Source organism: Homo sapiens, chromosome 2 (assembly GCF_000001405.40).
Source record: "Homo sapiens chromosome 2, GRCh38.p14 Primary Assembly".
NCBI lineage: Eukaryota > Metazoa > Chordata > Mammalia > Primates > Hominidae > Homo > Homo sapiens.
Genome location: NC_000002.12, coordinates 65,829,597 through 65,853,196, shown reverse-complemented (window position 1 = coordinate 65,853,196; position 23,600 = coordinate 65,829,597). Strand labels below are relative to the sequence as shown.

General features: G+C 41.1%; 1 long non-coding RNA gene across 2 annotated transcripts in view, besides 1 other annotated feature; it reads right to left on the bottom strand.

Moving 5' to 3' along the window:
- Positions 1 to 23,600, bottom strand: part of LINC02934 (long intergenic non-protein coding RNA 2934) — a 298,411-nt gene that overhangs the window by 235,289 nt on the left and 39,522 nt on the right. The gene's annotated exons all lie outside the window — the stretch shown is intronic.
- Positions 17,465 to 18,704: an enhancer, noted in NCBI's record as "HHc2:065915". NCBI's record gives its function as "enhancer in forebrain, eye, otic vesicle, larynx, lens, hatching gland" and the evidence as "EXISTENCE:transgenic organism evidence [ECO:0001131][PMID:22448256]".

Sequence of the window (23,600 nt, the reverse complement as noted above, 5' to 3'; positions counted from 1 at the left end):
ACCCATTAACTCGTCATTTACATTGGGTGTATCTCCTAATGCTATCCCTCCCCCCTCCCCCAACCCCACAACAGGCCCCGGTGTGTGATGTTCCCCACCCTGTGTCCAAGTGTTCTCATTGTACTTTGTGTACAACATATGACACTTACGTATAAATACATCTTTTAAGATCATTTGCAAAGAATTTGCTCTCATAAACTCAACCCTTTCTGTATTCTTATTTATTAATTTAGGAAACCTTTTCCTCATAACTAGTTCAAAAGTTATCTTCATTTCAACCCCTATTCAATTCAGACAAAAATGCTTAATGCACTTTTCTCCCAACACCATCCACATACTCAACTGTTCACTAAAATTTTCATTACATAATACATGCCATGACATTTTCTCCAATTACCTAAATAATTCAAGGCTTTGTATTTTGTTGTTTTGGGTTTCATTTTTTCATATGACCATGAGGGACCCTGTGATCACCTCCATAACATCTGTTCCATACTCCCCATGAAGGTTGGGTGGACTGACCAGACCTCCAGCTCCAGGAATTTGTTTCAGGCTGGCATGGTAAGCTTATTTCTCTTGAAATTCAGTCAACCTAAGACTAAACCAGCCAGCCTGGGGCTCAGAGACTAATCAAGGTGAAGCTCAGGAATCCTGTTTGAGTCTCCTAGGAGGGGACTTTCCCCTTTCCCAGATTTAGACAAGGAAGCAGGTGGCTCCAGTCATGGCTCTCTACTCTTTTGCTGTCAAGATAGGAACCACCTGAAAATGAACTGAGAATGATACCCAATCCTCACACAAAAAAAGAGAGTGGAGGAAACCTTAGACAAAGAAAGTCAGAGCCCTGCCTGAGCCATATACTGAAGCTGTACTTCTAAGAATGTGCAGCAATTTATCTCTGTATTGTTTAGGCCCACTTAAGCTGAGTTTTCTTTTTCTTGAAAGTAAAAGAATTCTAACTGGCACCCTGAATTTTCTAGAGCACTTGAAGAATGTAGTAGGCAACATCTAGCACTAAGTCACTAGTGTCCACTCAGTAAATAGTGTTGCATCTTAAGTCAAGATAATTTACAGTTTAACGTCATGACATGAGAAAAATCACAAAGAGCAAAATTTACTATGAGAAAAAAAACAAAAGATACTATGCAGTAAACGTAGTACAGTAATTCTTTTGCACACTAACATTTGAAATTCAAATGTGCCAAGAAACACTTAAACTTATTCCATTTGATGTATTTGTACCCGCGGATTAATATACCACAGCTCAGATTCAGAATTCCTACATTGAAACCTACTCCCTAAAGAGGCATTAAAGGTACTTCTTAATCTAACCCCATCTACCCACTTGCCTCAACACATCTCATTGTCTTCATGCTCTTGCACATGCTGTTTCCATTGAAGTTCACTTTGCATTTTTCTTCACCTGGAATATTCCTACCTGTACTTCAAGGTCCAACCCAAACACTGCTACCTGCCTTAAGTTTCCTGTCTCTTCTTTAGAGACTTAACTGCTCTCTCCTCTGGACTCTTATAGCACTTTGTTCACATTTCTATTAAACCACTTACTTTGTGGCATGGAACTCTCCCATTCACACATCTACCTAACCCATAGACCATGAAAAATTCTAGAGTGGGGGCATGTCTTATCCATCACTGTATCTCTTGCCTTAGCACATGGGACTGGCTCAGAGTAGGCACTTATTGGGTCTGTTGAATAAATCCCCTTAATTCAATTGAAGACATATCCTAAGTTTACCCACTTCTCTCCATCTTCACTACCCATGAATCCATGTACCACCATCCTCTCTTACCTGGTGACTGCAAATGATCTGACTGCTTCTATTTTTACCCTTTTCCAACCTCATCAGGGCCAGAAGTAGCTTCATAAGAATTAGAAAAAAGCACCTCTCTGAGCGGACAAGTTAGATAAAGATGCTTCCTCTAGGCTGATGTGACCTATTGAGAAATTACTTTAAAAGAGGCCTTCTTTTGTCACTGGGGTTACAAAATTAATAGAATGAAATCCTGGGTTGCTGGTGGTCACTTTGCTGCTGCATTGGTCAGGGAGAATGGGGAGTATTCCTAAGATTGAAGTCAACCAGGAGGAAGAAAGATAGAAAAGGTCAGATTTCTGATGTGCTGCAAAGCATCTAGGTACAGCCATATCTGAAAGAGTTATCCCTGAATTTCCAGTTACCTGAGCTGATTCAGTCACCTTTGTGCTCAGGCTAATTTGAGTTGTATTACAAATACCACCTAAGCAGTTCAGATTATATACCATTGCTAAATGCTAAGAGCTTAACATTAAAACATGACTCAGGGAAAGTGATTTTGCAAAGACCTAAACCACAGAGGACCAGAGACTAGACTGACAGGTACAGTAAGTCCTCATTTAATGTCCTCAATAGGTTCTTGGAAACTGCAGTTGTAAGGGAAACAAGGTATAATGAAACCAGTTTTATAATAGACTCATTGATATAAACAAGAGATAAGCTCCTACAGCATATTTCTGGTCATAAAAACATCACCAAACTTCTCTATAAAGACCAAAACACTTCTAGTAGTAAACATTGAAATGAACGTGAGTTATATATACATTAAGAAACATCATTAATAAAAACAAGTAAGATTTTTCCAGTTCAGGGTTGGGGGTAGATAAAGCCTGTCTCAGCAGCTCAAGGTGCAAGTCAGGAACCAGTCCTGGACAAGATGGCATGCCACTGTCGGGTGTACTCACCCTCACTCACACTGGGATCATGTAGACACACAGAGTCACCTAAAAGGGAACAGTTCTGGGATGTGGGAGGAAACTGGAGTTCCCAGAGAAAACCCATGCAGACATGGGAGGGAATGTGCAAACTCCACACAGTGACCTCAGCTAGGAGTCAATTGTTTCTCATCAGTGTTAGAAGGAAATGACGTTGAACAAGAAGATGTTATTCAAGGAGCCACTACCAGGCCTAGAATCTCCAAGGTCTGTAATTCAAATCCATTTGCAGAAACTACTTATGTCAGGACTTTACACTGTAGCTCTATGATTTGGATGCAGTACCAATGAGTCCCAAATCACATCACACTAATTCACCTTTAATTTTCAAACTGTTTCACTATATACATCATAACCAAAAGGAGATTCTCATGACAGGTCATCATAGACATCACTCTGTCTCCATGTGGGTCTGCCCTGAAGTCATCCCCAAACCAGAGATGCCTAATACTTTCCTCAAAGAGGAAACTGCCTGACCTTCTGAAAAGCATTCAAATGTTCATATAGTTTTATACCATTTTTTTTAAATGCTCAAAGATATAGATGCAATCCTATGAAATATTGAGCAGACAGCCTTGCAGGCAAGTCAAAAAGCATCCAATGGCTGGGCACAGTGGCTCACACCTGTAATCCCAGCACTTTGGGAGGCCAGGGTGGGTGGATCACTTGAAGTGAGGAGTTCGAGACCAACCTGGCCAACATGGTAAAACCCATCTCTACTGAAAATACAAAAATTAGCCGGGCATGGTGGTACATTCCTGTGGTCCCAGCTTCTCAGGAGGCTGAGGCAGGAGAATCGCTAGAACCAGGGAGGTGGAGGCTGCAGTGAGCTGAAATCGCACCACTGCACTCCTGCCTGAGCAACAAAGCAAGGCTCTATCAAAAAAAAAAAAAAAAAAAAGCACCTGGCCAGGCACAGTGGCTCATGCCTGTACTCCCAGCAATTTGGAAGGCTGAGGCGGGCAGATCACTTGAGGTCAGGAGTTCAAGACCAGCCTGGCCAACATGGTGAAACCCCATCTCTACTAAAAATACAAAAACTAGCTGGGCGTGGTGGCACGTGCCTGTACTCCCAGCTACTCGGGAGGCTGAGGCAGGAGAATCACTTGAACCACGGAGGCTGCAGTGAGCTGAGATCACACCACTGCACTCTAGCCTGGGCAACAGAGTGAGACTCCTTCTCAAAAAAAAAAAAAATCCAACTTCATTAGATATCATGCCCTAGTCTAACCAAGGTTGTGTAACTGTGCCTAAAAAGTGAGAAACTAGGCCAATGATTATTTATTTACTTATTTTCTGTTACAAGCACATTTGTTGCCCCCTTCCCATTCATGCACTCACCCTCTGAATGACTTGATCTAAGAGGACTTGTGGCATGGTGGATGGGCATTGGGCTCTTCTCCTGGCTCGGCCACTTATTTGCCAGGGGACCTAGGCCATCAATTTCCATCCCTTACTCAAGTTCTTCCTCTGGACAAGTAGGACCTTCATGTACAGGATCTTGTGAGGAGCAAATGAAGCACCCAGTTCAGGGCACCAAGAGCAGCATCAGAAACAGACCAGATGCTCCAGACGTATTTGTTCACTTGCTTTTCATTTAACCAATTGTGCTTGGGAAAAGTAGTCAGTTATTTTGGCATCAAATAGGATAATTTCACCACTTCTTGCCCAAAGTGTTCTCTGGCTGGGTAAATTGTACCAATGTCCACCCAGTTGCTCCTGCTAAAAGCAAAGCACTATCTTGAGCCTTCTGTCTCCTTACACCCACTGTTCAATCTATCAGTAAGATCTGTTGATTACACCCCTTATAAATATCTTAACTCTGACCATCTCTTTCCTCCTATTCCTACCCTGTCCATGTCATCATCTCTCAGCACGACTCTAGCTAAACAGCCTCCTAACTGGTCTCCCTGCCTCCCCTCTCCTATCCCCTTATCCCTACAGTGTCCACACAACAACCAGAGTGACCTTTTCTGAAGTGCAAATCATATCACTCTCCTGCTAAAATTTTCCCATACCTTCCAATAACATTATTAATAATAATAATATTTCTAATTTATTGAGCACTTAATTAAGTAGAAGGCACAGGTCTAAGCACTTTGCACATACCAAATTATTTAATCTAAAACAGCTCTCCAAAGTAGGTATGATTATATCCCCACTTTTTTCCATAATAAGGTCACACTATTAGTAGTGCAGCAGCCAAGATGAAGCCCAAACCATTTCCTTTCCTAAGAGCTCCAAGACCTAGCTCTACCCTCTAAAAGACCTAGCTCTACCCTGTCTGCCTTCTCATGTCGCCTCATAACACTCTCCTTCCCTTGCTCCCTAAGCTCTAACCACTCGGCCTTTTTCTGTTCTCAAACATAACACAGCTCATTTCTTTCTCAGGTTCAAAGACTCTGTCCAATTCTGCTCAAAGGTAACTATCTTGGAGAAACCACCGTTGACCACACTGATGGGTAGAATGGATGTGTGTGTTTTTACCACTGCCATTATAACCACCACCATCTCACAAGCTCAGAATTCCTTGAGAACCTCTTATTCTTTTTGCTTGAAAATCCTGGGGACTTCAAAACACAGGGAGGATATTGACTCAAAGTGCTATGATTTATCATTTATATCAGGTAGTTCATAAATCCCCTTGCTTCTGAATTTGATTCTGAACAGAAAAATGCCTAGGAAAGGAGTGGGAAGTCTATGGTGTATTTTTGCAAATTGCTTCTTAGAACCCTGAAAGTTTTTTTGCCCCCTTAGTGAATGAACTACTCTCTGAAAATTTCTGAAGGCTGAAAACTGACAGTACTGAAAACATTCTCTTAGAAAAAAAGGGCTTATTTTAACTTTTTAAAAAATATTTGTGTTTCTTCAAATATTCCTACAGTTTTTTTAAGGCAATTCAATTTGGGGGGAACATTACGACAATATGCTACTTCATGCCAAAGAAAGCTTTTTATTGGCCTCTCTCGTCTTTCTAGCTTTCTTTTTCCAGCTGTTATATCAGATATAATCATCCAAAACTGTGATTTGTCATCTCCATCAAATTTGGCTTATAATTCTCGATGTTGCAGTTTATATGAAAACATTTATGAATTAAAACTCAGAGTGAAATGAAGATTTCACAAATTACGGACAAGGTTAATATTCCTCAAAAGGTTCGATTGCAAGCAGACCTGAGAAAACACTGGAGTTTATCCCAGATGTTGACACGCAGTACTGGCTGTTCCACTGAAATGTGGTGGAGCAGTGAGACAGACACGATCCCCACTGCCAAGCCAGCCTGAGGACTTGCTTCCCTCCATCACGTCATGGGACGATCTCAGGCAAGGCAGTGAATAAAAATGAGTTCTTAAATCACTTGATCTACCAATTAAAATAGAAAGATCACCTTTAGGCCTTGATGAAAACTGACTGAATTGTCATCAGACTCTGTCCAACCCACAGCCACTGCCCATGGTAAGTACACATTGATAAACATAGCTACCATTTATTGAGTCATAATTATGTACCAGGCAGGGCAGTAGGCAATTTGCATGCCCTATTTTCTTTAACAAATACTCATTGAATAAGTGGAGCTTCTTTATATTAGGATGAATTATATGAATCTGACATTGTTGTAGATTAAAACAGTCCAATAGCAGCAATTCCATGCAGTTCAATCTAATATTTGTTCTGTCTCTCCCTGGACCCAGCACAATGCTTATGATAAACACACACAGTAGAGTTCAGTAAACTTTTATTCCATTTATCAAGTTTTTTTGTAGAAACAGCCTCTGAGAGGGGGAAAAAGATGGCAATATTTCAAGCAAGAGTCAATCCAGCCAACTCTGTTGCATTCATCTCTGTTGCACTCATCTCTGTTGCAGGTTTCCTCTGAAACGCCTCACAGTGCCCATGTGCCTCCACCTCCCCAAAGCTCATGTAGTAAAACAGCAAAACATGCCCATGTGCCTCAGCCCAGCATAACGGCAGGGAGCTATGGGACATTGCCAGCCCTCTCTAATTTCCGCTGTCCCCCCCTCTCTTTTCAGGCAACCTGCTTTTTCCTCTCCCAAAAGTCACCATTAAAGGCATTTTATGGTTAAATAACAGCAGAGCAGCAGCCCAGGAGAACTAAATTTGGTCCTGAGGTTAACCTTAAAAATTGAATTCTAGAATCATTATGTATCTGAATTAGTAAAATGTACATCATTTTTTAGGGGGTGAAAAGAGATCATTAGAAATAAGTGACTTAAGAAAACAATTTCATTCCTAAAGCAGCTGGGGGGGTAAACGGCTCAAAAGCCCCAACTGAAACCCAAGAAATTTAGACTAAATGTGAATTAAAAGCAGATGAAGCCATTCCAATGAGGAGATGGGAAGTTGCTCCATTTTAAACCATTGCCAGAGGGACTGAGAGAGTGCTTTGCCCAGCCCCTTCTTACCAAGGTCTTTACACTCTCACACCCCAACCAAGAAACAAAACTAAAGAAAACCAGAACATGCCTGAATCAAGAGGTTTCATTTCACCCAGATGCTAAACTTAAACCAAAGACCAATGGCCGAACAACAGAGCACATTTCCATGCCTCCCACTACCCACTTTAATAATTGTAGCTTAGTATCATAGAAAACAATGGTGACAGTCTCGATCTGGTATGTTTCAAATGAGGAATAATTTGCCATTTGGGGTGAGGGGAGTGGAGAGTGTCCCTAAGTCAATCTTTCTAGCCTGCTGGTTATAGAACTCATAGACAGGGAAACATCTGCTTGCCAGCTGTGACCATGAACCAGATGATTTATCTACAGACATCAGAAGCCCAACTGCCCGAACTACTGGAGCAGGAAGTAGGGGAGAGGTGGGAAGGGGAGTAGATGGGTGGGAAGGGGAGTAGACAGGTGAGGAGGGAAGGGAAGGAGAGAGGAGCACTTTCCAAAAGGGGGAGGAAGAGAAAGAAGGGAGAGGAGCACTTACTGGAACGTGGAGTCAGGAAAGTTTCTTTAAGGGCTCATTATGGCCTGTGGATATTTCTACCTCTTTTTTCCTCTTCCCCACTCCATGCCCCTATTCTCATAAGTTAACCTATAAAATGGATACATTCCAGGTTTTTAGCCATGAGAAAACCAAATAGGAGGTGTGTGTCCAGCCCAAATGACGACATGACCAAAGGGTATTATCTTAATTTTGTGAAAGAAAGAAAAGAAATGAACCAGTTGTGGCATAAATCTGTGTGGAAATGTGACATAGGTTGAAAACGTGTGCACTGAGTGGTGGTCCCCAGAGCTCCCCATTCTTCTGTCTGGAGAGCGGCCACCCCCAGCACAGACAAGGTTCACAATGGCACAGGTTAGAGTATATTCTCCACCGTCTCGAATACAGAGCCAATGCCACATGGGTAGGCACCAGGCTGAAAAAGGGTGCGTTTTCTTTATTAGCAAAGCATTCTGCCTTGTGAGCTAGGAAGTTCCACAACAGAAATGGGGATGCAGCATTCCTGCACAGGGGCAGCTGTCTGGAGTTAAAAACTGTTCATACCTCTCAAGCTTTACCACTTATAAAATCCTGAGCTGTCACTTCTGAGCATTATACGTAAGTCTGGAAAGGATGGCACTAGAAGAAATTTCATTAAATACCCTCAGGTCAAGACTTTTATTCTGCAACCCAGCCCACTTCCAAAATCGACCAAAAATGCAGGCTCAATCTTAGTCTCCTTCATGTTCAAGCAAGACATTCAAGGCTTATTCCAATAACCATCAACAAGACTGTCATTGTGGTTAGGAGCATGACCTTCAGAACCTGATAACCCATTATTGAATGCTGATCTACCTCTTACCTTCGGCAAGTGGCTTCACTTCTCTGTGCCTAGTTTCTTCATATGTAAGGCAGGGATAATAACTGCTAGAGTTGTTGTAGGGATTCAATGAGTTAATCTATTTAAAGGATTTAGAAAAATCCCTGGCACCTAGTGAGCCGTAAGAAATGTTAGAGGCAATCATCATCATCGTTGCCCATATTCTATTTTCAAAAAAGTGAAAAACTGTTCTTGGTGTCCTATAGTTCACAATCTGCTGTAAAGACAAGGTTGACACCAAAAACAACACGAAAATGAAGCCAACTCCAAGTCAGAGGCTGATGATGTGATAGAGATCATATGTTCTATAGGGGTCCAAACTAGGAGGGGCCGGCAGGAGAGCTGGAGGAGGTTCCTGGGGTTGGAGGGGGCGTCTGTGGGGGCCTTGCACAATGGTGGCATTTTGATAGATAAAAAGAAAGACAACAAGGAGCTTGTAGAGGTTATTTGCTTTTAAAGATTATTGGTAGGGGAGTCCTTCTGTTGTTTATAAGGAGTGAGAACAGTTTGAAAAGCTCTTCTCTCAACTACCTTTCTGGAAAATTTTTAATGTGGTAAAACTGCACGTTTAACACAGGCCCAACTGCAAACAACCAAGGTAAATTCCCACAAAAGCCATCTCCCCTGCACCACCCCCTGGTCTAGTCAACACTGTAAATAGAACTGCCACGTTATTATTGAGAAGGCGGGTAGCTCCCATGCAAACTACATATTTGATTAGAGTCTGAACTCTTTGCTGAACCATGAATTTGAAATAATTTAGGTGATACATATAAATTTAATTTCTTTGTTCAAAAACTCCACATCTGAAATGATGCCCTGCAAATGCGGAGCTCTCACCAAGGTCTACAAAATGAGTCTCCTTCTAACTCGTCTATACTGTGTGGAAATAATCTTCAAGGAAAGGAATAAACCTATTTTAAAAACAGCTGAGTCCTTTAGATCATATACCCTAACCAATTTATGGAGATAAATGAAATTCAGTATTAAAGAAATATATTTTTTCCACTCCTCCAGAAAATGTAAATGCCAGCTACAAAATGGAAAGAAAGAAAAAGGACAATGAAATCAAGACTAGAACAGCAAAAAAAAAAAAAAAAAAAAAAGTCAGAAAAAAACAATTCCTGGACAATTGACGATTCCCCTACCTTATTGTCCCTTCCTGCTTGCCCACCCCCACCTCCTCCCATTTCCCTACTGGCCCAAAGGAATTGTATACAGGAACATCACAGAGGAGAGGAAGTTCAGGGAAAAACAACTTCTGAAGAAAACAAAATTCACTGGCACCATCTGGAATCAGAAAGGCATCGTTCTCTATGGAAACAAATACCCCTCTCTACAATGGGGAAGGGCCCACTATGGCTGTCTTTCCTGCACTGCATCCTATTTCAATAACTCTTACATTAACCCTGGGCTAATTACTATGACTGATGAGAAAATAACAAAGGAGAAAGAGCAAAAAGGGAAAACAAAGTAACACTGAGTGATTGCTTGTGTCCTATTAATATAAATGAATACAAAATACTTTTAAAAAACGCATTAGGCAGATATTGGCTTATGATGGGGTCAATATCACGATTTATTTAACTCTGGAGACAATAAATCTTGATATTGACTAAAAACATAAGTCAATATGTGTACTGTTGTGTGCATTCTATTACAAAAATGAGGTTTTTAACTTTAATGGCCACTTTCACAAAGAAGAAAAATAAAAGAACTCTCTCAAAGGCCTTCAAACCACAGCCACACTAACACCTGCGGGAATGAACTCACTCTCTGGCCCAGCTTCTCAGAATCATCTCAGTCAACTAGTCAGTTGGTCAGTTAATGTGATGGATTGAAGTATCGGTCCTAATTCTTTACCCCTCCCATATCCACAACCTCTGCTGTGCCTCCTACACAAGGCAGAGGCCATCCCTAGACTTCAGACTTGACTTTTGATACTTTAGCCATCAGAATGTGGACAAAAATGTCTACAGTTCCCAGTTCCCAGCCTAATCTTATAGAGGCATCTTATGCTCTGTTTGTTCTCTTTTAATTCTGTTATCACAATTTTAAAAGCTTCCACTCAAGCAGATGCTGCCCCTTCAGAGTGAACCCCAAAATAAATACACATGGAGCAGACCAGAGCCCCTGCTACAATGCTCAGCCCAAATGAACCTACAACTGGAAGCAGAGTTACCCATACAAGCTCAGCCTAGATTATTGCCTTTCAAGACAATCTGCAGATGTGTAAGAAATGAATGCATACTGCGAATGCCCCTGAGATTTGGTGGTTGTTTGTTATGCAGCAGTAGCTGACTCATACAGTTAGTATCACTAAGTATTCATTATTTCCAGAACACTGTATGTTACTCCCTTTGGTGGGAGGGGCTTCAAAAAAAGTTGAAGAGGCATGCTCTGACTCTAGAAATTCACAGTATAATAGGGAAAGCAGGACACCTACCTGATGAGCTATCTCCCTTTAGAATATGTTCCCTGTAATCCAGACTACTGCCAGATGTCTCCCCATCCCCTTATCCAGGAGTACTAACTGTCTCAGCTCCACACATATCCAGATGCAGGACTCAGTTCCCTTACCAGTTTCCAAGAAAAATGCAATAACTGTAATTGGGAGATTTTTGTAGGTTTTATTTTTTCTGAAGGTCAGGAAGACTTCACTGGGAGTACTACAGAGGTTTGCACATGGCATTCTATTAAACTCTACATTAGGCCATTTATTCTCCTCAAATCCCTCCTTAGTTACATCCTAAGAGGGCTTCTCTCTTTCTCCTCGTCTCTGACTCAGTAGCCAGCACCCCATTAGTCCCTTTTCCTTTCAGATTACTTTCAAGAGTTTCAAGTTCCTCCCCTTCTTGCTATTCAGAAAAAGCCACCTATGACCACCTCATAACCTCGAACTTGCATTACTCACCCTATTGGCAAATACTGAACCCTTCAGCAAATAGAATTGCTTCTTTAGAAGGCAGCTCAACTATTTGAGAAGGTTCTTCAGTGTCTCAAGTCCATCCCAGTGACTGATAAATGTCTTTTTAAAAAATCTTTGGGGTGGCCGGGCGCGGTGGCTCACGCCTGTAATCCCAGCACTTTGGGAGGCCGAGGCGGGCGGATCACGAGGTCAGAAGATCGAGACCATCCCGGCTAAAACGGTGAAACCCCGTCTCTACTAAAAATACAAAAAATTAGCCAGGCGTGGTGGCAGGCGCCTGTAGTCCCAGCTACTTGGGAGGCTGAGGCAGGAGAATGGCGTGAACCCGGGAGGCGGAGCTTGCAGTGAGCCGAGATCGCGCCACTGCACTCCAGCCTGGGCGACAGAGCGAGACTCCGTCTCAAAAAAAAAAAAAAAAAAAAAAAAAAAAATCTTTGGGGTGTGTGTGTGGGTGTGTGTGGGTGTGTGTGTGTGGACATTTCATATAAATCACTTTGTTTGATTTATAAGCATTCGTTCACTTTTTTTTCAGTAAGTATGCGTTGAGCCAGTCACTGTTCTAAAGGCTAGGGTCCAGCAGTGAATAAAAGAGAAACTCTTTGACCTCATGGAGTGTAGTCTCTAGGGAGGGAGACAGACATTGACAATAAACCCGTAGATGAGGTCACACTGAGCAGTGGGAAGTACTATGAAGAAGAAGCAGAGAGTAGAGGGGCGGTCACCAGGAGGTTGGGGGTGGGGTGGGATGGAGACGTTGGTCAAAGAATACAACGTTTCAATTAAATAGAAGAAATATGTTCAAGAGATCTATTGTATGATGTGGTGACTATAGTTAATAACTATGTATTTTATTCCTGAAAATTGCTAAGAGAAAAGATTTTCAGTGTTCTTACCACAAAAAATAAGTATATAGGGTAATCCATATGTTAAATAGCTCAATGTAGCCATTCCACAATGTATACATATTTCAAAACAACATATTGTAAATGATAAATATATACAATTTTTATTCAATTTTTAAAAAGAAAGTACTATGAAGAAAATTAATGTAGGTTGAGGGGATCCACATACTATTCTAGCTAGGGTGGGCAGGGGAGGCCTCCCTGAGGAGGTGATGTTTGAGTAGCAACCTGAATTGAGCCTAAATCTCTGCCTGTTTACTTCATTCCTCCATCCAAAAAAGTATTTATTATGTGCCTGTCGTACTGAAGAGATGGTGTTTGGTTGCTGAGGGGCACACAGAAGAAGCATAAGTGGATATTCTCCTCAAGGAGATGTAATCAAATAGAAGAAATAAGATATACATTTCAAGAAAACTACACTATACCTTAAAATAAAAAATCACTTGTGCTGCATAGGTAAAATACAAGGGAAACCAGGAAGTATAAGAAATCACAATATGAGAAACTCATAGGTCCTTTTAAAATTGTAAATTTTATTTTATTTATTTTGAGACAGAGTCTAGCTCTGTCACCCAGGCTGGAGTGCAATGAAACGATGGCTCACTGCAACCTCTGCCTCTAGATTTCAAGCAATTCTCCTGCCTCAGCCTCTGGAGTAGCTAGGATTACAGGTGGCGCCTGCCACCATGCCAGGCTAATTTTTGTACTTTTAGTAGAGACGGGGTTTCACCATGTTGGCCAGCTGGTCTCGAACTCCTGATATCAAGTGATCCACCCGCCTTGGCCTCCCAAAGTGCTAGGATTACAGGCGTGAGCCACTGCGCCTGGCCTAAAATTGTAAATTTTAAATACACAAGAGTTTTCTAAAGAATCTAAGACAGTTTTATTAAAAATGGATAAAATCCATTTTGAGTGAAGATTTTTCCACTCAAACTTCCAGATATTTTTAAAGGCTTTACATCTCAGCATATGCCTTGTACAACAATTTTATGTATAATCCAATGTTCTATATGTTATGTTCCAATTCTTATGATATACAAAAGAGAGTAAACGATTTCCATGTTCTCGTTCTCTCTTCTTGTTTCTGGAGTATGATGGGAGTGGCAAATAGCCTTGTAAAAAAGGATTGTCTTACCTTTGTTTTCACAATTATTTTTACAGTGTAAATCTTTTTATGCTTAGAAGCACAGACTAAACCTTAGAATAGGGATTCGAGCACAGGTGCGGTGATAGCTTTTCTGAGAAGTCCTAGAGAATGTTCACATATCAGCTAGTGAGAGCCCTGGCTGCTCACCCCAGTCTGTGGCTGGTAGATTGACACACAAATAATTTTTCACAAGCACATTTCAAATTATTTCTTGGGATTTCTATAGCTTTCTACTGACTGGCCAGATCTATAGCTCATTTCTCCTGCACCCTTCTAAGAAAGGGTTCACATTTTCCTGCTGAGTGGATTTGGGGTGTGTAGGGTGAGGAAAAGGCATGAGTTTGAGGAATGTGGCAGACACTGCTAATTATCCATCAACATCCATCTCCGGGTTTTTATTGAATAATAAAACTGAAGTTTTTGCTGGGTCCATGGCTCTCCAGCTAAACTTGCATTCAGCTGGACATTCTTGCAACTGAGTGTGGCCATGTGACTATGTTCTCCTAATGAAAGTTGAGTGGAAATGATACATCTTATTCCAGGGTAGATCATGGGCATGCACTCTTCTGGCCCTTCCTGCTCCACTCTCCCCACCTCTCACGGACTGGACATGGCATGAGCTAGAACATGCACTTTGAATCCAGACATGGAAGATACATGTTGAGGGTGGCAGTGGCACCCTACCAAGTCCTGGGCCTCTAATTGTTGTGTTACAGAGAAATAAACTTCTATCATGGTTAATCCGTTGGAGTCTGTTTGATACAGCAGCTTAGTCTGCACCCTAAGCAATACAGGAGGGATAATAATACTGTCGCCTTTAAAACCAGCAAAATTAACTGGCCTAAATGAGCATGCTCTTGGCCAGGTTTGTGGAAGTAGTGCTATCAGTGGAAGAAAGATTTGCCCAAGTCTGGACTTTGAGTTAACAACCTACCTATATTCTCCCTTGGCCACTGCCACATATTCACAGTTTCCACATGACTTGACGTTGCTCATGCTACATGGCCACTAACAACAGACCCTTCTGACCAGAGGAACCAAGCCAGTTAGTGGCACTGAATGAGAGGAGCTGACATTCCAGGAGCCAGAACATGAGGCCTTAGAGACCCTAATAAGTGGAAACCTGTCTGTCTATTGCTTTTCAACTCTAAAATTTAATGCTTCTTGAGTTTCTTAGCTGATACTCTGCTCACATCTTGTTTCCTACTACAGAAGAAAAGTTCTTTTCTAGGCTGTAGCTTCACAAAAACTATTTCTCCTTAGACAAAGAGGAAAGTAGAAGAGAGCAACTCAGGAGAACACAGATTTCTTTCACTTGAACACAGCATCTCTATGGGGGAACCCCCTTACAAAGCAGGATTTTCAGATTAGGTTTTTGAGATGGCCCAGAAGTTTTCTTTATAAATGGAAATACAATTTTATGGCAAGAAACATTTAAATTAACTCAACTAAAGTTGTAGGCTTTGGTGGCTAGGGAGCAGATATTTGAAAATGAGATCTCCTGAAATCTGAGGGCAGAACATGGAGTAGCTGTGGGTGGTACACCCAGTAGGAACTGGGCTCAGTGAGTGCTTCTAGATTCAGGGTGGTTCTGGGGCCCTCATTAGCAGATACACCTGGACCTTCATTCTACTGTTCACTATTTACCTAACTAGGTGACTCCTACAGGAATGCCATTGGGTTTTGTCCATCTGTCAATGAACTTGGCCTCTCAATACCCCAATTCTCAGTTCCTTTTAACAAAAATTAGGAGCACAAGCAGTTCCCTGGGAAAGCAGGCTAAGGGTGAACCAGGAATCCCAAAACAAGCACACTGTCCCAGTGTTTGGAGGACAATACAGATGCCTGAAATTTTCAGGACAAGTTAGAGGCAAAGGGCTGGATTCTTGAGCTCTTTTCTCGTTCTATAATAAATACCTTTGACCAAGGTCATCTAAGCTAAGACATCTTAATTCATCTATTTATTTATTCATTCAAACATTCATTTAATAAACATTTATGAGCACTTACTCTGGGCTATGGACTAGGAAAACAGAGTTGAATTAATAAAAGGATCTTTTTCCTTCAGATGCTCACAGGCAAACTCATAAACAGTTACTTCCCAGAGACCTTCAATATTTAAGAAAATCAGGGGAGGAAGGTCACATCAAGCTCAAAATGTGAATTTAAAAATAACTAGTTGAAATATAGTTTAAAATGGTTTTAATGTAAACTGATGTTTAAACTAAATGTGAACTCATTTACATAAGCAAACTTATTTGCAGAAAAACCCTTGCACATCTCTTAAGGAGGTTAGCCAACAGTCGATCCGAATGTGCCAGTGTGATCTTGCTTTTTAGCTAGCCCCTCCTCATGGCAGAAGGTATCTCCCATACCACCCACTATGTCACCATTGCTAAGGGTCTCAAATGCCAGTTTCTGAATCCCCTGCCCCGTTTGATATTGTTTAATCTCCAAAATATGAATCAAAGATACCATCTGTTCCAACAGTGCCAAAGAAATATTTTCCTTGTCCACCACAGATCAATCCAGACACGGTTTTGTTTGCCCATTGCCAATGGCACTAAACTAGCACTGCCTTATCAAGGTTGTTATAAGAGGATCTATTTACTGGTTTTGCCTTTTTTTATCAGTCAGCTTCACCAATTCACTGAGAATGCAAAATAAATTAATTCATCTCTTTGTTTTTACCTTAAACCACTTACATTTGTATATGTATAATTTAATTTGTTTGGTTTTGGTTTTATATTCTACCCTTTTACACATTTTTCAAAGTTTTTGTAGTGTGTAAAGTATTGTGTAGGGTTTTTTTTTCCATTTCTATGTCTTAGTTATTGGGTAACCTCATTGTATTTAAACATATAACTATTCACTAACACCGCACTATTAAATTTTATACAAATGACTGCCAATGATGTACTTGCACTTTTAATTGGAAAGATTTGGGGTGGGGGCTATGGCTATGTTACAGTGAATACCTTACTACCTTATAGTTCTAAACAAGAGAAGTCTACACAGTCTTGGTAACTATAACATTTTTATAAGTATATTAAAAAACACAATCCACAAACTGGTCAATGCAAACCTAGATAACCAAAAACAGACTACATGTGTATGATAAAACATGTACTAAGTATATTTCCAGAACGAAGGAGGGAATGACCAGTGTCACAGGAAGGTAGAATTAGGTAGGATACTGTAGGGAAAGGTGGGTGTTGAGGGAAAACTTCACAGAAGTAACTGTCATGATATGACTATTAATGGAAATGAAACAGAAACTATACTTTCTTAAAGCTGAGGTAGGGAGGGTATAAGATTGCCTAATTGCCCCTTAAAATTGCAGACCTCTTGCAAAGCAGAGATGTTTTCCACATAATCAATGTAAGCTCAGGCTATCTCCACACCCATCATCTGATAGGCAGTGGAATGTGTCCTGCTGTTAAGGAGTATACAAGACAAGATAATTCTATAAACTCTTCCTCCAGCCTGTTACCTCTCAAAAATACCTAAAGGCATTATAATAACTGGTGGAACTTCAACAAAACAAATCCAAAGGTTCATTTAGCCAATTCACTTTTATCATCTTCCAATATAACTGACTAATGTGTTACCCATAAAAGCAGCATCTTTAAGCCTCCAATTTAACTAAGCCACACATTGGTTTCTTTTTTAAAGCTACAAGTCAAAATACTGTTGGTTTCTTTTAATTAAAAAATAATACAGAAAATAGCCCAGTTAAGATATGCTTTCCAAATAACTGAGGAGAAAAATGACAAAGCAAAAAGAAAACAACCATCCTTTGCAATACTTTTTCTCATTTAGGCCACCATCTCTGATTTTAAGTCATCTCTAACTTAAAATACCTTGCTTTTAAAATAAACACTTTCCAAGCACAGCATTTTACGTCTTCGTGCACCTGTGAACAGTTGCAATGCAAAGAGAAACACAACAACGTAACAGCTATTTATCCCCCTTCTTCTTTCCCAAGACACTGTAATGACCTGGATGTAAGAGGCAATGAAGAAAAGCCCCCTTTCTCTAAATATCTCTCTCTCTCTCTCTCTCTCTCTCTCTCTCTCTCTCCCTTTCTCTCTCTCTCTCTTCCTTTCTCTCTCCCTCCCTCCCTCTCTCCCTCTTCCTCCCTGGTATCTTTAAAGACTTCCCTTAGAACTAATATGGGACTCATCATTTGATGATGAATTTGCATGTCGATCGGCAGCCAGTGTAGCAGCCCTCAGATTAGGGACATTCCGCTGCACACTAAAAGGCACAAAGAACAAGAAGTGCATTTCCATCTGCCCTTCCTTTCCAGTCAGTGCATTCCCAGCCGTGTCTATAGATGAGTACTTGGAACAATACCAAAATGCAGTGTAAGATCAATCCTGCTGTTTACTTCGCTGAGCTAAAGGAACAAAGAACAGAAGAAAGGCCTTAAACCCAGCTATCGTCAAGGAGTGGGGTGAAGGATGAAAATGGGTCTGATGGGCAGTTGAACAGAGTAAATGTATTTGGAGAAGCAGCAGCTCCAGCTGAGATAAAACCAATGATGATTTGTATTTTATACTGTATCTTCAGGGGATAAAAGCACTTCTATCAGACAGCCTTGTAGGCAAACTTGAAACACTGCAGTAAAGGGCTATGTTCTTTGCCAGGGAGAGAATAAAAACTCCCATAATTGCTGAGGAGTGTTAAATATCTGATTGTACATGCCTCTCTCCTCCCATGGTGAGGCAACTCAACCAGGCCCTCCTTTTAACTTCCTCAGCCCCCGCTAACCCAACAGTTGGCTGGGCCCTGCTGTCAACAAAGCAACAGGATACTGGGTTTTACTTGGATAAATACCAGTAATTGTAATTTGTGGGATTATTCCTCTTTAAAGTTATTTCAAATGGGAAGCGCAGCAACTTCACTGCTGCCAAAATAAGAGTTGAGGTTGAGTGGAGGTGGGACGGGGTGAGATGAGAGGCAGAGTTCGTGTTCAAATACAAATATTTTGAGAAAGAGAAGGCAGAGCAACAAGGCCATGGCAGCAAAGTAGGAATTTCCTCTTTGTGAATAAAGAGCAGATGCAGCCCATTGCTCCGTCATTGGGTGAAACCTCGTGGCACGGGCCAAGCGCAACAAAGGCATACCCCTGTAAAGGACATAAGGAAGGAAAAGGCCAGAAATGCACAATGGGGGTGCCCCCACAATTCTGCTCCCAGAGCTAGGCACAACTCATCCTTTAGCCTCACAACTCAAATGTGGTCCGAGGAACAGCAGCAGCAGCATCACCCGAAAGCTTGTTAGAAACGCAGAATCCCAGCCCCTGCCCCAGACCCGCTGATTGCTGATCTCGGGAGGCAGGGCTCAGGTAACCTGATGCTCAGTAAGGTTCAGAACCACAGCCTTAGATTAGCCCCCAGAAACCTTCCCTGACTCCTCCCCCACTCAGCAAACCCTCCCTTGCCGGAAGCCTATACCCCTTATTGCTGTGCCAGGAACAAGACATTAATATATGCCTTCACATATAGTGGGGATTCAACAAATATGTTGACTTGCTTTGCCTTGCCTTGTTACTGTTTTCATGTGCATTTATGTGCTCTGACTCACCCGTCAGATGTCAAGTTTTTTGAGGACAGGGACCCTCTTGGTTTTCTTTGAAACCTTCCCAATGCCTGGCATACACTGGTGCTCATTAATTGTTCAGGGGTTGACCTGTGCATTGGGACTTCCCATTCTCCTGGAGGATATTAAAGTAAAGTAGATGGTGTTGAGTGGGTTCTTCACTGTGGAGGAGAGGTCAGTATTTTCATACTTGAGTTACTCTGACAAAAGAACATGACAGCCTAAACTGAGAGCAATTGGGCTCTATCTTCAAGTAACTCCATTTCTCCATTTGCAAAGTAGGCATGGAAAATTATAAACATGTGAGTAATATTTTGCAGAGATATTAATTCATTGCAAAACAGGTATCCTTTGGGTGGGGGAGAAGTACTGAGTAGATGCAGTCTTGCATATCTATGAATTTTTAAAAAGTCAAATGTGTCCTTTTGACCTAGCTTTTTATGAGAAAGCCTATCACTGAGTTCCACACATTATATAGAGGTGATCAAATTTTATCCTCAAACAACTAAGCTAGCTCGATATAATTTACCCTAAAGCGACTTACAGAAACTAAGGCTTAAATAGATAAATAATTTGCCCAAGGCCACCAAGTTGAGAAAGCACAGATTCTAGTACAGGTAGATTCCAGAGCCCATTCCTGCTCTCTCACTCCACACTGGAGGAAGGAATAAAGGGGAGTTAAATGATACATTGAAATGCAACATGCAGGTTCTTCTGTGCACCCACAGGGAATGGAATTGCAAGCAACTGACAGTAGGGACCTGAGTTTTATCTACCAGAAGACAGATACACTCAATGTATACTACTTTGTAATTATATAGGTAGGTGAAAGAAATATCAGAGCACAAGACTATGTCTACATAATGTCAAATAACTGGATTTTTAAAATAAGAAGATTCCTCCATCTATTTATAAATTATATTCGAATATTTATAAATACTAGGTCTGGGAATTTTCCACTTTTTTCCCATATGTTTGAGAGACATACAGACACAATCTAAAAATCCCAAACTTCTGAAGGAGGTTCTCCTCCAAAGAATTTGACATTAACAAAAAAGCACATCAAGAACCTAAAATGTTTCTTATTGTTCATATTATCTGAGCATAGAAAACACAGTAGACACCATACAGAACATTAAGAGAGACTCAATTTCAGTCGAGAGGGCTCACAATATAAATTAGAAAGACACAAGCTAAATTAAATAGACACAGTCTAAATTAGATAAACAATATCAACAGAGTTCTGATTCCTTCTCAGCAGGGATTGTGGAAGAGGAAGCTTTTCAAGAGATTCTAATACATGGAAAGGTCCTCATTTCCCAGGTCAATAGGTCATTTTGTTACATTTTACTGGGCACCAACTATGTCCAGGTACTGACCTGGGTTTTATCCTGAATGAGTCTCCAGTAGTTACAAATAACATTGACTTCATAAGGGGAGCAAAGGTGTTAAGGATGAGACTTTTACAGTTTATCAATCTGTTTCATAAAAGTTGGGGTTTTGTAGGGAATTTCCACATGATTGGAAAGTCTCAGTTATCATTCAGTCAGCTCCAAAAGGTAGAGATTCCTGCCTTGGGTTCTTCCCTCAAAGAGTCTGCCTGGTGCAGATGGAACAAGGCCTCCATACATTCTTCCCAGAATCAGGAAAGTTTGGCTGCCTGCACCACAGACATTTTCCGAAGTGGCTTTAATAATGGAAATAAGACAATAGCATCTTGTAACTGTAGTGTAGTTTAACGCTATTGTTTCTTTCTTAAGTATCAAAGCCTCTGAATAGACTTTTCCAGAAAGACCTAAGGTGCAGAATGTTTGGGTGGCTTATTCAAGATCACATATCGAATTCTTGTAGAAGCAGGACTGAGACTAGCTCTGGACACTTGGCCCACAGCTCTTTCCTCTATTTTGCCCTGAGAGTGTGTCCCATTCTAGGGCTGGCAGAGAGAAATATAAGGTCAGCACAAATGTGAGCCACATATGTCACTTTAAATTTTCTAGTGGCCACATTTTAAAAAGCAAGAAGAAAAAAATAAACCTGGTTTTAATCATAGATATTATTTAACCTAATATATCCAAAATATCATCATTTCAACATGTAATCGATATTAAGAATTATTAATGAAATATTTTACATTTTTTTCCTACATAGTCTTCAAAATCCCTTGTGTATTTCACGCTTTCAGCCCATCTCAGTTTGGACTATCCCATTTCAAGGGCTCCACAGCCACATGTGGCTACTTATTGACAGCACAGCCTTACAGTGTCTGCCTGAAATATTTCAACAGGAAAGCCCTGCCAAGTCCAACCTTGGGGCAGACAGCTCCTTTGCAGTCAGGACTGTTGCAGTGAGATCCACACCACAGCTATTGGAAGTGAGAGAAAGGTTTCCAGGCAGCCTCCAGCCCTGCAGAGACTCCCATTCCTGATATAAAGCCCCAGAAGCCTATTAACCCCTCCACTCCCTACAATGCCAAGAAGACAGCACTTTCATACAATCTCCTGCAAGCCTCTGTGGGGTGGGGAGGGGGGATCATAGAGGAGAGCTGCATTATGCATTCTTGCAGATTATTATTTTATTAAGAAAAATAAAGCAAATTTGGTGTTTTAGCAAATATCTATTGAGTGACGACTACACATCAAGCATTGAGCTATGTTGTGGAAAGAAATCAATAAGCTCCTCATGGAGCTAACTTGCTAGTGGAGATGACCTGAAAAATAAATAAACACACATACACAAATAAATATAGTCTGTGATAACGCCTACAAAGGAAATAAACAGGATAAAGAGAGAGTAGCATTTCGTGAATGTCCACAACACACTGCACTAGTCTCTTTTTCCTGTGGTAGTGCTAATAATGGCCACCATTTATTTGTGCTTAAAGCGTATCAGGAAATAGGCGAGGTTATTTATATCATCTCTTACTCTTACGATGACCGTGCGAGGCAAATCTTACACAATTATATCTTTGAGCATTGGGATAAATGCCCAATGCTCAAAGAGATAATTGCCTAACATCACACCACTAGTAGGTGGAACAACCAGGATCCAAGCTCAGATAAGACAACACAATTCTCTCTTCTCTACCATGTGATGTTCATGTTTATATCACATGGATTTGTTGAATAGCAATAAGGAATAAAAACTACACCAACCCTGTGTGGACCAGTAAGGGTCTTTACTTTAAGGACTGAACTTCAAGCCATTGAAAATAGGATTTCTAAGAAGCCCTGAGATGAGGACATCAATTCAAACATCAGGGCGTGGTGCATTATGGATAACCAATGGGCTGCATCTCCCAGCTCAACTCTTGAGGCTGCCTGGGAATGGTGAAGCTGCATCTAGACTCAAGGCTAACTAGGCCTTAATCAATTAGATCTGTCTGCCATGGCTGGGGACAAGGAGAAGGGACACTCTTACTATTAATCTATCACCCCTAGGTCTGACTCAAGACCATCATGGACTTAGGAGCAAATCCCTGGATCCTGTACTGCCTAAGAAATGGATCCATCCCAAAATCACACTTGGTTCAGTGTGAGTCAAAGTCAATGAGATCTGTCTGCCCTGGCATACAGGAGGGTGTACAAAGACCCAAGACCCTCAGAGGACCCAAGGTAAACCCACAGGCCCTGGACTGCCTACAGGTTGGATCCAGCCCCAAATCACTCTTGGCTAACACTTTATCAAAACCCCAGTGAGGCGAGTTTAGTAGTTGACAACAAAACTACACTGTGGTAATAACATATTTGTAATTTACCAATGATTTATTTACTATTAAATTACTTACATGTAAACCGTTTTTAATCTGCATCAAAGTGTATATTTAGTCATTTTCCACCAATCATTTCATTGTATTTTTAAAAGCCTCAAGTTAAAAGAACTTCTTTCAGGTTATATAAATACCTAATGAAGCAGAACCAATAGGTGTTTTCTACCCTAACTCTGATGTCCCTAACGGATAGGCCTGAAAAACATCACTTTATCAGCTGAATGTCAAAACTGGACACCGATTTGGAACGAACTATGGTACTAGTACCATTTTTCTCCCCCAGGGACTGGCTTTCACAGAACACATGTCCAAAACAGACAGAGAAGGATTTCCAAACACGAGAATGATGGCACCTAACACAGCAGCATCCCCTAGGCAGCGTGTCTTCCTCCCCCTATCTTCACTAATCCCGGAAAATGGTTATACTACCTTTCAATGGCAAAGAGACCCCCTCAAAATCTTCTGAAACTCCCACCTCCCCACCTTAAACCCTGATATTACTGTGTTTTCCACAACAGTCAGTCACAGGGGACGTGAAAATCTCTCTCTCTTCCGATCATGGCACAGTCACAGGGGGACATAATCTTTGGATGAGAAAACTTCCTCTTCAAACAAAGGAATATTTCTCCCTGTGCGGTGGGAGACATTTAGCCCT